Genomic DNA, 17315 nt, shown 5'->3' on the forward strand with positions numbered 1-17315 from the left:
TATTAGTTCATGGGACTTATCATAGTAGGCTCTAACCACATGTGACTATTGAGCACTTGAAACGTGGCTAGGGTCACATGTTAAAATGATAATATTTTGAATATATTGGGTTAAATAAAATGTGTTAGTGAAATTAATTTCCTCTGTTGCCTTTTACTTTTTTCAGCGCAGCTTTATAACATGCAAAATTACATGTGGCTCTATTTAGCTATGATAAGCCTTGCCTACCCCCTAGTGTCAGAACTTAGGCAATGCAGGCAAATCATTTTTCAAACGCATCTGTGTTAAGTACAATTCATTTCTGCCGGCAAAGTACAAGTATAGCCGCCTGTACATACAATTTTATCATTTTCACAAATGTTATCTCAAATTTAAGCCTCAGAGAGACTCCTGTAGTAGATGTTATATTCCCCACTCAGTTAGTATTTTTGAAATTACCAGGTTTATTGTAGAAAATTAGAACTAAAACAGCGTATGCTATTTAGTCAAGAGTATTTGCAGGGTTCCTATAAATTTCAGCCATCATAGGGGACAGAAAACATGGGATCAAACTTGGATGCAACAACTGCTCTTCAAAAAATTTACCCTAAGTTAAAAATAACATAAACCACCAAAACACACAATCACAACATGCATATTTTGCATAATCATTTATAACAGAAAAAAAAACAGAAAACCTAAATTTCCATAAATTTGAACAGTACAGAACCTCTACAAAACAGATAACATTCAAAAGAAGAAGACAGCTCTAAATAAGGATAACTAGCATTTGAGCACTCACTAAGCAAACACAGTTCTCAGCATTTCCCAGGTATTAATTGATTCCTTATTATAACCGTGAGACTTATTTTTTATTATTTTTATTATTCTCATTTTACATAGAAAGAGGCTGAGTCCCGAAGAGGTTTCATAACTTGCCCAAGAATGAAAGAAGAACTGAAGCAAAACTGAAGCTCATGCTGCTTCCTCTGCCATGAGTAATAAAATCTTTTGTCTCGGGCCGGGCGCAGTGTCTCAGGCCTGTAATCCCAGCACTTTGGGAGGCCGAGGTGGGTGGATCACTTGAGGTCAGGAGTTCGAGACCAGCCTGGATAACATGGGGAAAGCCCACCTCTACTAAAAATACAAAAATTAGCTGGGCGCTGTGGTAGGCGCCTATAACCCCAGCTACTCAGGAGGCTGAGGCAGGAGAATCACTTGAACCTGGGAGGCAGAGGTTGCAGTGAGCCGAGACTGCGCCACTGCACTCCAGCATAAGTGACAGAGGGAGACTCCATCTCAAAAAATTAATTGATTAATTAAAATAAAGTAAAATCTTTTGTCTCTGACCCAAGCATCTCATGCCTTCTGCCCAGCATCCACGAAACTATGACCAGCTAACCTGTTAGCTTGCAAGGAGGGTAAAAGCTCAGACCCTTCACAATTCTTGACATCTAACTACTTCCCAATCAGTGATACATCCTCTCTACAGCAGATTTAGGTCAAGGCCAGCAAATAAAAGGGCTCTCAACACCCTTCTGGGTCACTCTGTTCCCCAGCTTGTTGAAGCCTTTCTCTCCTTAAGGTTGAGCTGAAACCTCAGTCTTCATAGAGCAACTTTCTTCGCCACAGTCAGCTTACTAGAACAATGAAAAAACAAGCCTTTTTCTCTTATGCATGAGAAATCTTCAAACCCTGAAGGCTCTGACCACATCTACCTACCCATGCTCACAGTCTTCAGCTGTTCCTGGAATGCGAACCTTTCCACACTCATTCTCGATGCCTCCAAATGTGAAAACAGCTGCCATTTATGGAATGTTTACTATGTGCTAATCCCTTCACCTATTTTTCCTTATTAGTTATCCCAATAACTCCAAATAAAATAGGCATGGATATCATTCCATTTTTACAGATGATAAAACAGGTTCAGAGAGGTTAAGTGGCCTGGATAAGGCCACACAGCCAGGATGTACCAGAACCAGAATTAGGTTTGACTTTAGACCCCCCAACATTTGATTTCCTTTCCTGCCTCATTTCCAGGTGTGCCCCAGTTTTTCCAGGGACTTTATGCCAACAGATTTTATTAAATAGTCACCAAGCACCACAGCATTTTGTGGAATTGAAATAGTGCAGTCCAGGTTATATTCAAAGTTCTCTAGGGAAATGGAACTATTAAAGTGAACGTATAAATCAATAGCACCCAAGTTCTCAACTTTCTCAGCTCCATCAGAAAACTAGCTATGACTCCATCTTTAAAGGATAAAAATCTGAATTTTTGAAGTCTCCTAGTATTCACAGGAATAAATCTTAAAGTTGTAAGATGCTTTGTGTCCCAACTACTCGTGTCTATACCAGATGAAATTTCTAGGAAGATCCCTAAATCTTTAATTCCACAGGAGTTGAGTTTCTGAAACTTCCTTCCAGAAGGCATCTTTCCACTGCACAAAACATATTTGCTACCCTCTTGTGGGGAAATAAGGCACTGCTTACAGCCAAAAAAAAAGGAACAAAAGGACAAATTGCTAGTTGAAGAAATAACAAGAGTTAGCCCTGGCCTCCTTTTAAAAGAAACGAACCTGCCAATTGGCCCCTTCACCTTTTCTACAGCTTGAAGCTACACAGTCCCATATGTGTATGTGATCTCCTGCCTGCTCAATTATGATGGAAAATAGACTTTAAAAACAACAAAACCTGTCTTTTGCGTTTTTTAGTTGCTTAAAAATACTACTGGATTCTGTGGAAATGTATTAATGCCATTTGTCTTCAAGAAAGAGTCTCACCACCCAACCTGTGAAAATTAGGTGGGTTTTCATTTTGGTTTTTTTAATGCTTAAACTAAAATTACATCTCTGATACACACCTACCGTAACACCCATCTGCCAAAACTGGGGGGGAGATTCCCACCTTTCTTCTGTGTCTCTTAGCCAGGTAGGTGGAGATAGGGTTGTAAAATACCTCCTTGTTTACACACAGCAATCAACATCCACTCTTCTAATCCAAGCCATAAAAAGCATCCAACTTCTAACTAGGGTTTCCTAGTGCCATCATTTCTTTAATTGGCCAGCACTAACCATGAAGCCCATGGGACAGTGCCAGGAGCCTCTCTGGACACTCAGACACAGCCGTTTGCAGATAACACTCTGCAACTTGCTCCCGCTGTCAGACTTCCTATAATATACCCACAGTAGAGTGAAAATCTGACCAGAGTTTCTCAGGATCTCGGTGCACTGCCCCAATTAATTCTGGTGATCCTGAGTTCTCCATCAGCTGAGCACTAAACTGGGACAAAAATGCCACATGGACATTGCAAGGATCATGGACTTTCATTCCCTGAAGATCATTAGATAAAATTTATAGCATGAATGGGAGTGGGTGGTAATCCTACTGAAATGCTTCACTTGTCAACTAATCTGACTCTTAAACTCCACTCAAGAAAAGAGATAAGATTGAGGACCTCAAACACTATCCTCGTGAACAAACTCATAAAAATAGGCACAGCACAATAACCAACTAGCTGTGGGCACTTCACAGCAGCCAAATGGTATTGATTTTATGCTGATTTGCTGAAACTTCAATCATTATTTTTCTCATCTTCTTGGAACTGTCACTTGAGGAGGGAAAATTGAGTTGTGTGAGATTTTAAAAATTATCTTGAGCCTTAAATTATGACTAACCTTAAAATATCAGAATAACGAAGTGGAAAGTATGACATGTTATATATTTGGTGGTAAGAATATCTCATGAACTTTCCAAACACAAGACCTTTGGAGACAGAATTTATAATTCTGACCCATACGTGATTTAGGGTTCAGGCATCACTCTTTCCCAAAGAAGTCAAAACATTTCTGGCACTGCCACGCCTCAGATTACCAAAGCTGAGAGAGTAAATTAATTGACAACAAGTCCATTGACACATATGAATTATTCAGGAAAACACAATTTGCTGGGGAGTTTCCACTGTGTCACTTTAAATGTTGATGTAAGAAAGAAAGGACAGAAACACACACACACACACACACACAAACACACAAACTGATCGGTAGCTGATGGTTTTGATCTCGCCTTTAAAAATCAGCAATGCAGAGATATGAGTCTCACTAGAAGTTATCAGAATGACTGCCTCTAAATCTTTAGACAACACCCATTTTAAGTCCCTTACAAAAGTTACCACAGCTTTTTCTCTTTTCTTTTTTTAAAAAATCATGTAGCATATTTTCTCCACATCTCTCAAAAAGATCTTAAATTATCTGACTATTCCCTTCACTAAAGCCCTGTAAGTGTTAGTTTAAGTTTATCATAAAGATGTTCTACTTCTAAGGAAGCTGCAGGAGTGGATGGATGGATGGGCAGATGGACTGACATGTATGCACACACACACACACGCCAACCACACAAATTGCTGATGGTTTTCTGGGATTCCTTGAGAAAAACTGCTATAAAAATAAAAGTGTGCCCAAGAAAACAAAAGTTTTTAAAAGCCTGAAAAATATTTTTAAAGGACTCTTAAAGCACTAAACCATTAAACTGTGTTACTCCGCCATATTTCATGCTTCCTCTAGTTATTTACACACCATCAGAAGCTCACATCAGTTATCTGTGTCTAAAATGTGGACTCTGACATTTGGAGGGGTTTTATTATCTCAGCAGTGCATAATGAGCTTAAAGGGCTTACCTGCATGTCCCCGGAGGTGCTGGCTTGAGGCGGACATCAGCTTACAGCACACCATTAACACGTAGGCTAGAAAGAGCCAGTGCGACAGCAACACTGACTTAGCACAGACTCTCATCCTGGAGGAAAAGCAGGGCTGGAGTCAGTGAGGGCTGAGGAAGGCCAGACTCCCTGGCAAGCACCATTCTAGGAAGGCGGGAGAAAGCAGGGGCAGATCCCTGGAGCTGGAATTCCTTTCTCCCAAGAAAACAGAAGACCAATCAAACCTTATTTGCACTTAGCATTAACTAAATTTTCAATAAAAACCTTTGATAATTAAGAGTTTTCCAAGTTAGCACTATGCATCAGTGAGAAGCTTATTTATGAATCTGCAAGTTGTTGCCTGAGTTACCCTAATAGAGCATGGGGATTTTATTCTATTTTATACCATGAGATGTAAAAGCAACACACTTAGAGCCAGATCCAAATAAAATATATATGTTTTCTGGATCTGAAAGAATCCATGGAGATTTTGCACATGTGGTCCAAGAACTTTCTCCTGGTTTCTCTGACTGTACCCTAAGGCTTTCTGGTCTGGAAGACTAGGTTCATAGTTGATTAAACCAATCTCAACTCCTCCTTTGGGAAGGAGTATGGGCAAATACAGGTGAATATAAAATAAATTTAACTTCGTATGATGGACAGTATCAAAACAGTTGCTCAAAAACAATTCCGTTCACATGACAATTCAGTTGCATGGTCTATTCTAAAACAAAAGAGTAAAAAAAAGGAAGATATCAAAAACATTATTCCCAGCTGCCTAACTTTCTGCCATTTTATAACATCAGAAGGGAATTAAGTAGATAGAACTCGATTAACTTTTTTTGTTTGCTTTTTTTATATTAACTTTTGAAGCAAAACTCACCGCATTTGGCATCTGAAATTCCGGTGCTAATAGGTTCTTCCTTACACATGCCTCATGGCATCTATTATTACCACAATGGATCAAAGAAACCCCTGTTTAATATATGCAAATGTATACACACTTATGGGCCGACAATAAAAACATGGTACCTGAGTTTGGCTTCTTGCCTGAGTCACACTATAGGCAAGACCCCTAAGGAAGTCCTATAAGGAAGCATCTCCAGCTCCCAGCAACCTAGCAGTGCCTCTACGAAAGTCCCAGTCCCCTACTCCACGAAAACACATCAAAGCCTCAGGGGAATTGAATGCCACACCATACGCCGAGGCACACACATGTTCTGCTGCCAACATTCTCTCTCCGTGACCTCTCACAATTCCGTCAAATAGATCTTGTTAAAGGGTGTATTGCTCATTGATTTGAGATTTGGTCTGCTTTTTAAGTAGCCAGGCCAATCATGTTTGAAGAACTTGGTGTTAAAGGCAACAAAAAGCACTGGCTTCTTTTTGCCCTTTTAAACTGTTTCAAAATGGTTTTAAACGGCTATGTTGGGTAATTTGCAATGCAGCAATAAAAAATTAATCTTTCATTTATGTGATGCCTTGAAATTGTCCCTTTTGGGGCCACTAATTATGACAAACTGGAAGCCAGGGTATCTGATCCAGCCTGCAAATGTGTTTTGTTTGATCTGTGCTTTAAAAAAAAAAAAGAAAGAAATTGAATTGGTTGCCAACACATACAATGTCCAGATTGCAAATCAGAATCCAGATTCTCTTGAAAAATTATTCCTGGCATCCCCGGGCTCACATTTCCACATGGGAGTAACAGGCTGCCGTGGTCGCAGCTGCCCCTAGAAGGGTCTCCACAGTCCCTCCCACTAGTCAGTACCTTGGGCCCAACCAGCCCAACTCATTTACATGTGGCCATTTGAACTTCTGATCCTTGGGTAAGAGGAATAAGCCTTTGTAACAAATAGATTGATAGCTGATATTGGGGTAATAACTGGAATTTTAAAACATTATGTGTGAGACAGAGTGTTACATTAACAAAAAATAAATCATCCAATACCGGAATTTGAGCCTCTGGACTTCCCCCAAATTATGTGATTGATAATAGCATCTAGAACTCAGGTAAGATCCACGTATTATTTTCTTTGCCACCTTTCAAGCTGTTTCTAGAGTTTCTGTCCTCTTCATGTGTGTACACTGAGGTGGAGATGGAAGGCATGCTTTGAGAAACGAAAGGCCCTTCAAAGCAGAGAGGCTCCATGTTTCTGTGTAAGTTTAGAATGTTAGCAATGTCTGAAGCAAATTACCAAACTTAGAAGTTTAAAACAACAATCTATAGCCATACTACCCTCAACCCACCTGATCTCAGAAGCTAAGCAGGGTCGGGCCTAGTTAGAGCTTGGACAGGAGCAGTTTGAAACAACACCGATATATTATCACACAGTTTCTGTAAGTCAGGAGTCTGGCATGTTCTGGCTGGGTCTTCTGCTCAGAAACTCACAGGCTAAAATCAAGGTGTCAGCTGGGTGTGTCCTCATCTGGAGGCTCAACTGGGGAAGGATCACTTCCAAGTGCTCTCAGGTTGTTGGCAAAAGCCATTTTCTTGGGACTCTCTGTATTCCCCGTATTCTTGCTATTGACCAGGAACTGCTCTCAAGCCCTTCATGTCTTTGCCACATGGCCCCTGCACGTGCTCCTTCATGGTTTGAATCTCTTCCTCCAGGAAAGGCTCAGTCCCCTTTTAGGGCTTATCTGATTAGGTCAGCCCCACCCAGGATAGTCTCTCTTTTGATTAACTAAATTCAGTGTATGTGAAACCTTAAAAACACCTGTGAAATCCCTTCATCTATGCCTTACAGGTGTAATTTAATCAAAGATGTGAAACTCATCAAAACCACAATGCCACCCACACTCAAAGGAAAGCAATTAAAATATTTAAAATAATGTCCCACTGTTGGCAATAATTGAATGAAATATCTCTAATACAAAGAGAAAGAGTTTAACTTGATAAAACCATAAATTGATCGATAATTTGATCATGTATGTCAAACGTTTACAATCCAGCAGATCACTTATAGGATTTAACCCTAAAGAAATAACCAGCAACGTATGGGACTTTTTTTTATTGTTTATACTATTGAAAATGATCTGGCCATGCATGGTGGCTCATGCCTGTAATCCCAGCACACTGGGAGACCGAGGTGGAAGGAACGCTTGAGGCCAGGAATTCAAGGCAGGAGCGAGCTATGATTATACCACCACACTCCAGCCTGAGCAAAGAGTGAGACCCTGTCTCAAAAAAAGAAGGCAGGCAGGCAGGCAGGCAGGGAGGCAGGGAGGGAAAGACAAAAAAAAATGATGATCCAAATGTTTAACAGTATGAGACTGGTTAAACAAATTATGACACAGCCACAAGATGGGATGTTCTTCAGTAATGAAAGTGATATTATAAAATGAAAATAAACAAGTTTATTAAAAAGAAACAAAAGTTTATTTTAAATATATGAATTATATGACAGCCTGGGCCTGTCTTGCCTTCAGATCCATTCCTCCCGCTTCCCCTATATTGAGGGCTGGAGGGCCCTCTAGGCTGCATTTCCCAGGCTCCCAGGTCAGCTGGTTACTGGCTGGGTTCAGTCAAGGAAACGCAACAGCTGGAGCCTGGAGAATAGGAAAAGGGATAGGCCAGGACATTTCTCCCCGCCTTCTCTGTCTTTGGCAGGATCTGTGGGGTGGCCATCTCTCCACCATGGCTCCAGTTCCTGCCAGAAGGGTCCACTGTGGTTCTAGTTTCCACTCTAGTTTCCTTCTTCTAGGCACTGCCTCCCCACGGTCTAACTGCTTCCATGGTTCCCAGCCAGGGGATGGCAGTGGCTTCCTGTGTATCTTCCGCTCAGTTTCTCTGACTCTCCCATCATATGTATAACCAGTCTCCTGAATTCACTTCCCACTGGACAAAAATGGAAGTTGGAGATAATTCATTCCCAAGACATGCAATTTACCCAAGCTCACAGAGCAGTGAAAAAGCCAGCAGAATGGTTTCTGTTTTCCTGGTTGGATTCCAACAACAAATGCCTTAAATCAAAAGTCTCAAGGGCACACATTCCAAATCCTGGGCAATGATCCCTAATCTATCTTCTTCTTACGTGGACAATTCTATGTAACAAGTTGCTGGGTTAGTAGCAATAAGTTCCCTGTCTCTAAAACAAGTATTCACTTAACAATAGCTCAACAACCATTCCCCCAGAGAAATGCCAGGGCAGAGTGGTAGGGTTGGGGCCAGAAAGCTCTTCAGCAATAGATTTGTATTTCTTCATTTTTTCCTCTACTGAATAAACCAAAGTACTATTTTGCAAACTGAAATAATTTTCATTTCACAGATGAAAGCTAAAATGAAAAAATCAACATTTCCCCAAATTCCCAAAAAGTGTAAAAGCAGGCTTCTAAAACGGATCATCAACTCCAGGATACTCACTTTTGCTAAATTCTCAATACTTTGTAAAGATATCATGTCCAGGTGAACGTTAAAATAATCTTACCTTGGGGACCTCATAAGATGTGGTTCTAGTCAAACACACTTATTCCAGGATATATTTCAGAGTGACTCCAAATTCCCATCTGTTGCTAGAACCAATCATTTCTGCCGTTCCAAAAAATTATCGTAGCTCAGAAGACCTATGTTAAAAAGGCCAAAAAAAAAAAAGGAATCAATTAGCATTTTAATGTTAAAATGAAACTAATTTCCAGTAGCAAAATAATGGTTTTTAACCATGACACCTGCAGTTTCAGGCAAGTGGCAGACAGCCAAACATATCCATAGTTGTAAGGTGTCCTACTATTAGGGAGGAAAAGATATAGAATTCTACAGTCATTAATTAGCCACATATTAGTTAACACCACATAGTTGTAAAGAACTTTCTGCAGCAGGAAGGGTATTCAAAATTTAACAGAGGGTCCCAAATCATTTGAAATGCACAAATTTCACTCTCCCATTTCATTGACCATCAGGAAAAATGGAAGTTAGAGATAATGCATTCCCAAGACATGCAATTTGCCCAAGCCCATGGAGCAGTGGAAAAGCCAGCACGAAGATCTGAATTCCTGGATTTGTGTGACATAAGCCTGAAGATGATGCTAGACAATCTATGAGGTTGCTTTTTGAAAAAATATTAATAGGACACCAAGAGAAAAAGTGTTTCCAATATAATCCACCATACCAAAATATAAAGAACACTTGTGAATACTGTAGTTGACATTCCCTCAACGCATAAACCTAAAAGGATTTTTCTACTTAGTGAACACATTTGTAAAAGGACTCAGATGACCCTAAAGCAAACACATCTTAAGAAAAAAACAGAACATGAAACTATACCATTTGTAAAGATGCTAAGTTAAATACATCCCTCCCAGTGGTAAAGATCAGAGAAAAATTATGATATGTGTTAATAAATATTCAAGTTGCAAATATAACATAAAAATGATTTTTGAAATGAAGTCTAATTACTTTAGAATCCTGTAGAACCAATTAAGAATCCACCACCAAGCACAACTGAGATTTTTCTCTTAGATAACCCAAAGATAATTCCACAAGTTTGATTAGAGAACACTTTCGGTGATAAATTTGAAGACTCACCACTTTGGGGCTGCATGTAAGAGAGTATGGGCCTTGAGTAATTAGTTCAACAAGAGAGAAATGGCTTTAAATAGCTGTATAAACACAAGTTGCTCAGAAAAAACAACTTGAAAATGTTCATCTCCCAGATCCTCCAACTTTATTAAGTGTGTTTGTCCTTACGTCCACCCAACGGCATGATGTGACCTTCTGCTATCAGAAAGAACTACACAATATAATTCATCAGAACTCATCATAATGAACTCCCCACATATTGGAAACCAAAATGACCTTTCCTGGCTAATATTTTTCTTATTTTCTTCACACAAAAGGAACCACTGGGTATTCTTTTTTCAATTCATTAAAAAAATAGATCCATCAGTGGAAAGTAATGCGACCTAATAGTTCATATGCAAGACAAGAAGCCAGGAGTTTAATTTTAGGCTGAGCAGTAACTCATTCAGTCATATTTTCCCAGAGTGTACCTGAGGCACTTACTTGAAAGAATTAACTCTTTCTTGTCATGTCTTAGTCTGTTTTCTGCTGCTGTAACAGAACAGAAATTGAGTAATTTACCAAGAAATTTATTTCTCACAGTTCTAGGGGCTAGGAAGTCCAATAGCACAAAGGCAATTAAATTTCAACATGAGTTTTGGAGGAGACATTCAAGCCATAACATTCCACCTCTGGCCTCCCAAAACTCATGTTCTTCTTACATACAAAATATATTCATTCCATCTCAATAGCCCAAAAGCATCAATTCAAAAGCCCAGTGTCCAGAGTTCCATCTAAATCAGATATGAGACTCAAGATTCATCCCACCTCAAATGTCCTCCAGCTGTGAGCCTATAAAATCAAAACAAGTTATCTACTTCCAAAACACAGTGATGGAACAGGCATAAAACAGACATTCCCATTCCAAAAGGGAGAAATAGAAAAAGAAAAGAAGTAACTGGTTCTCAGTATGTCCAAAACCCAACAGGTAAAACAACATCAAGTCTTAAAGCTGGAGAATAATGTCCTTTGGCTCTGTATGTCCTGCATCCTGGACATGCTACAGCAGGAATTAGGTTGCCAATGCCACGGGCAGCCCTGCCCCTGTGGCTTTGCTGGACCCGATCCACTCAGCAGCTCTCTTGGGTTGGAGTCCTATGCCTGCAGCTCTCCCAGGCTGGAGTTGTACACCTGCAGCTCTACATTTCGGGAGTCTCTGGGGTAGCCTCGCTCCCATGACTGCCCCCTAGTACATGCTCTCTGTGGTGGCTCCTCCCTTGTAACAACTTTCTGCCAGGACCCCAGACTGCCTGATACATCTTTTGGAATCTATGTGGAGGTGACTATGGCCCCAAGGCTCATGCACTCTGAACTTCCACAGGATCAGTACCATGTGGACACCATCAAGGCATACCACTTGTGCCCTCTGAAGCTCTGGCACTAGCTGTACCTGGGCCTGCTTGAGGGGTGCTGCATTGGAATTTGGGGAGAATTCCAAGGCTGCATAGGGCATTGAATGCTGAGGTCCCACAGGTACCCCTCTTGAAATCTTGCCCTCAAGGTGCTAGCTTTCCTGAAAGATCTCTGAAATATCATCAGGGTAATTTTCTCATTGTCTTGAACAGCAAGCACCTGGCTCCATTCCAGCTGTATCAATCATTTTAGCAATCTCTTTTGCCTGACCACACCCTTAGTATTCTCTCCCAAATATGCTGTTTTATTCTTCACATGGCCAGGCAGAGAGTCTTCCAAATCTTTCTGTTCTGCTTCCCCTTTAATTGTAAATTCTGCCTTTAACTAATTTCTCTATTCACTCATTTTACTGTAAGCACCCAAAAGAAGCCATGCAGCACCTTGAACACTCTCCTGCCACATATACTAGATCATTGCTCTTAAATTCCATCTTCTAATGGAATCTTATAAAACACTTCCATCTTCTAAAACCTTAGTGCATGGACGCAATTCAGCCAAATTCTTTACCATGTTAAAACAAGGATTGCCTTTACTCTGGTTTCCAATACATGTTTCTCATTTCTGCTTGAGACTTCATCAGAATGGCCCTTACCGTCCATATTTCTAACAACATTCTGATCACAACCTCTTAAGTGATCTCTAAGAAGTCTCAGACTTTCCCTACAGCTATTCTCTTCTGAGCCCTCACCAGAGCCACCCTTAACACTCCATTCACAGCAATACAGTTTTTCAGCATTTACTTCAAAACTGTTCCAGCCTCTACCCATTACCCAACTCCAAAGCTGCTTCCACATTTTCAAGTATTTGTTATAGCAATAACGCCATTCTCTGTACCAATTTTTTGCCTTAGTCTGTTTTCTGCTGCTGTAACAGAATACCTGAAACTGAAACAGAATACCTTTAAAAAAATCTATTTCTCATAGTTCCAGAACTGGGAAGTCTAATATCAAGGTGCCAGCATCTGGTGAGGGCCTTCTTGCTACATTATCCCATGGCAAAAGATGGAAGGGAAAGAGTGCTCAAGAGAGGGAGAAAGGGCTGAACTTGCTTGTATAACAATCCACTCTCACAATAAGGAACACGGCCCTCGAGATAATGACATTAATCCATTCATGAGGGTGGAGGCCTTATGACCTAATCCACCTCTTCATAATCCTACCTCTTAATACCATCACAATGACAATTAAATTTCAACATAAGTTTTGGAAGGCACATTTAAACCAAACTGTGTCACTTCTAACTTCAGTACATTCAAGATCGATAACTTTGTGCATGGCACCAAAAGAAAGCATTTACTTGCAATCATTTTATTCCTCTGTTGTTCCCAACTATAACACAGTCCTTTCTATCAGTCTGCTTCAAAAGTCATGTGTTTTTAAAGAGTCTCAGTGTTTTCAATGATGAAAGACATTGCCCATATCTAGACTAAGAGAATTTTTTTAGAACATGTCTGGTCATTCTCGGAATGAACTAAAAAGATGGTGGATGCTGGGCTGCATTTTTCATCTTCTGCCCGATGTGTGGGTATTATGTGGAGACAGTTACTGATTTACTACAAAAGAGCAGAAAGCCTATTTATGTCTCCCGGTACCAAGAAACTTTGAGGTTCCCAGGCAGAAGAGCCCATTCTTCAAATGTTTAATTTATTTCCATGTTACACAAGAAAGAATTCTACCTACACTTGATTTCTTATCAAGGAAAATAGAGAGGCTGTGCCTTCCTCGTCTGTTGATCTACTTGCCTTCATTATTGGTGAGGTGAATTCCCTCAGAGAACTATTCTTTCAGAATACAGTCATTCACTTGTAGATGAGCACCTTCAGAATACCTCTTCGGTCTGCTACACCCACCTCACTCCACATATGAATCTGCAGGGCATCACATTTCCCCCATCTTTTCACTCTAAAACTCTACAATGATGAAATACCAGTTCCTCTTAAAATTGAAAGACACACTGACCTTAAACCTGGATCTAACTATGAGGAAAATCAGATGAACTCAAATTGGAGCAACATCCTGCAACATAATTTCTCTGCATTCCTAAATAGTATCAAGGTCATGAAAGACAAAAAAAATTAAAATAACCATGAGAATTGTCTCAAATAAAGGCAAGAAACATGGCAACCAAATGCAACTGTGATCTTACATTGGATCTTGGACCAGGAAAAAATAGTCATCCTCAGAATGAACTGTACACCCACACAAAAACAAGGACACATATACGTAGCCATAAAGGACATTATTGAGAAAATCAACAGTATCTGAATATAGCCTGTAGATTGCATTACAGTGTTCTATCAACATTAAATTTCCTCATTTTGATCCTCATACTGTAGTTAAGAAAGAAAATGCACTTGTTATTAAATACATCCTGAAATATTTAAGAATAAAGAGGCAAATGCCTCCCATTTATTTTCAAATGACTTTAAGAAAACATGAGCGGGAAGAAGTCAAGAAGAAAGAGAGACAGAAGAGCAGGATAGAGGGAACGAAGAAGAGAAAGGGAATTAATGAATGCAAAAACTAATAAGCAAAAGGTAAGCAATTGGTGAATCGGGGCACAAGGTATATGGGAATTCTTTGTACTCTTCTATGAACTTTTCATTAAATTGGAAATTATACCAAATTAAGACATTACATACGTACTTAAAAGCCTTCAGTTTATAAAATATACTAAAATGATTGAGAGCTTATTGCCAATTCTAAGCAATAAGGGGAGTGAAAGTTTGAATGTTGTGGTTAATTCAACTCTCTGAGCTTTCATCCAAGCCTCCAGAGAAGGTTTATTTGTTTTTATTTTAAAAACACTGACATAGCGCCTGCTAGGAACCATGCACTTGTTAGTCATTTTAAAATATAAACTCACTTTAAAAGAAGGATTTATTTACATCACGATATGGCATAGGTAGAAGTGGCTTGTCCAAGCTCACTTAGCTAGTAAGTGGCTGAGCCAAGATTCTAATTTATGCTGTCTGGTACCAAGGTACCTACAGTTTCAGTTCTAGTAAAAGTATTTCCAAAAAATACCAGTCCCTTTTCATGCTTTAGTAAACAGGAGGAAAATAAATCTTTCTTCAGGACTTGAAGACATTGGTCATCAATCTGACATTAAAAATTCTGTCTGTGGCTGAATTTGTGTAGACAATTGGACTGAATTTGTCAGCAGATGCTCGGATTGTGCCTATGATGGTTTACATTAATGCCTAAATAAATATTGCCTCATCTCTGAAAAGCTAGTGAAAAACAGTGGCACAGGCTTCTCATTTGCTACAGATTTATTAAAGGTTAACTAATGTCATTTCCCAAATTAAGACCAAGTATGCAAGAATTATATACAGCTTGAGGGCCTTCACCACCATTTTTTTAAACAGATGGAAAACAGCTGCACTTCTGAATAGAACTCTCTAAAACGTTTCAGTGAAGATATACCAGAGCCAGAACATCATACATGAAGGCTAAATTACTTCGGTTGATTTCTATGAAGGAATTCAGCACCAAAACATTAAAAATGGATTTTTGTCTGTGCATCCACTCAAACTCATCTCCTAACACATTTGAATTCAAAAGCATTTTTGCAAAAGTACACAGCAAAACAGAATCTGCTTAATAACAAACAAATAGCCCAAGTGCTACTAAACCACACTGCCCTTTCCCGCCTGCCCACTCACCAGGGAAACCTCCAAGCCCATCTTGCATCACCTCCAGAGTGAGGAGGTTTGGATAATTAGCTATTTCCAGACTCACCATCAGTTCATCTCTGACCTCCCGGGCTGGGATCTACCGGGATAGCCTGGTGCCTTCTGTACTCAGCCCCTTGAGTACTAGGGCACAAGTAGGAATAATTTTTTCAGCTAATGATGTAAGAGGTGACACCCTAAAGCGTTTAGATATTGTGGTAAATCATTTTTCCACACTAATTTCCACCCAGACAGAAGATGATGGAAGTGAAAAATGTTTCAGAAAGCAGCAATCTGGGTTTGGGGAGTAACTAGAGGGTTTTATGAGTGGAAGGGTAGGGATGGGGGGAGACTATCCCACTAAGTGATGTCTTTCCATTCTGGGATAATCAATAGAAATCTCGAAGCAGAACTTGCCTACATAAAACCATTCATCATTTCTCTAGACAGAAATGAGGTAATATGTTTCCATTTCCAGTTGCTTAAATAACACAATCACATTGAATTGTCTTTAGAAATCTGCAAACAGCTTTTCCACCAAAGCATGCACAATGAAATGTAACTTCTCTCTTGACAAATATATCCTGAAATAAGGCAGGTATTAATGATCTTCTTATATTAAAGAGTGTGCTGATGAAAGTAAATGTGCTTAACAGGTTACCAACGTTTATGTGAATATATTTCAAGCACCTGATACACGGCAGAACCTCCACTGAGCCATCATTTATAATGATCACATATGTGGAATTACTTTTGTAATTTAGAGAGTATTCATTGTTACATGTTAAAGCAGACATGTTTTCCCACCAATATGTGGTATATACCTGTCATAAATTGCTTTTTATTGCTTCCTTAAAAACATCAGTGAAGAATTTACTACTGAACCATTTTACAACATGCTAAAGTATGTTGTAAATGAGCCATTAAAGACAATAACTGTCTATTAAATATTAAAGAATTTTATAAATGGCATTTTAATTTCAAGTGTTACCAATACCATCTCATCTAAATTAGGTGGTAGAGAGTTGTTTTAGCAGAGTGAGAAGGTTTGAGGGGGGTGGATGATGACAAATCAGTTAATGGGTATGACGTACATTAATCAGGTGATGGATACACTAAAAGCCCTGCCTTGACCACTACACAAGCTATACATGTAACAAAACTGTACATATGCCCATAAATATGTACAAAGAAAGAAATAAGATTCTTCTCCCATTTTTAAAAAACGCTCTTCTAGTCAGAGATGATTTAAATAAATAGACATGCTATGTTTATATATGGTTTACACTCTGTCACTTTAAGAACTGAGAAATTCCTTAAAACCACACAGCATCTTCATTTAAGTGCACTGATAAATTCCTTCCTAATGGATATATGGTCAAACCACGCATTTCGTTAATGAAGAAAAACTCTAGCCTTCAAGTGACCGTGAAGTAAAAAGTACAAAAGCAATCATTGCTAAGTAATAATGAATAACTGAGATCCAGTATACATAAAACTGAAAACTTAGCTGGCAAGTTACATAAAATAAAATGCGCTCACCAAAATCAGCAGCACCCAGCATGGCTCCACAACTTGTTGTCCAAGTGAAATTGCCCAGGTCTGGGGCTGAACAAATGTTAACGGTAATGACAATTTAGCCATAAATCTCTCAAGGCCCAATTATCCTTACTGCAGAGGGTTTATTTCTTTTAATTGGACCAGTTTTTAATTGGAAATTTTCCTCTCATTTCTCATTTTTCAAATATTCAAAACAGAATGTCTAAGGATTTTATTTAACATAATCAATAGCCAACATAAATTTTGGAGATTATCTACAAGTTGCCAAGTACTTGAATTTTATCTGAAAAGTTTTTACATGATAGGATCTAACTTCTACATAAAAAATATTTGTAAACATTAAATAATAGGTCTTCTAATACTATCATCATTACTATGGGCAAGTGGGAGTCTATTTACTTATAACCAGAATGTAAAGTTCTTGAGGGGAGAATAATGTCTTA

The 17315-nt window shown here is 39.1% G+C and overlaps 1 protein-coding gene and 1 pseudogene across 4 annotated transcripts in view; one reads left to right on the forward strand and one right to left on the reverse strand.

Annotated features, from left to right (window-relative positions):
• The window catches only part of TAFA4 (TAFA chemokine like family member 4), a 200782-nt gene that overhangs the window by 144313 nt on the left and 39154 nt on the right, over positions 1-17315 (reverse strand). For all 4 annotated transcript variants that reach the window (XM_011533372.2, NM_001005527.3, XM_011533371.2 and 1 more), the window contains exons 2-3: positions 9097-9232; positions 4652-4767 (exon numbers count right to left, since the gene is read on the reverse strand). In XM_011533372.2, the coding sequence (XP_011531674.1) occupies positions 4652-4767; positions 9097-9110 (130 nt within the window). In that variant the 5' untranslated portion in view covers positions 9111-9232. The remainder of the gene's footprint in view (positions 1-4651; positions 4768-9096; positions 9233-17315) is intronic.
• RNA5SP135 (RNA, 5S ribosomal pseudogene 135) lies at positions 6889-7013 on the forward strand (annotated as a pseudogene).

This window comes from Homo sapiens, chromosome 3 (assembly GCF_000001405.40).
Source record: "Homo sapiens chromosome 3, GRCh38.p14 Primary Assembly".
Lineage (NCBI taxonomy): Eukaryota > Metazoa > Chordata > Mammalia > Primates > Hominidae > Homo > Homo sapiens.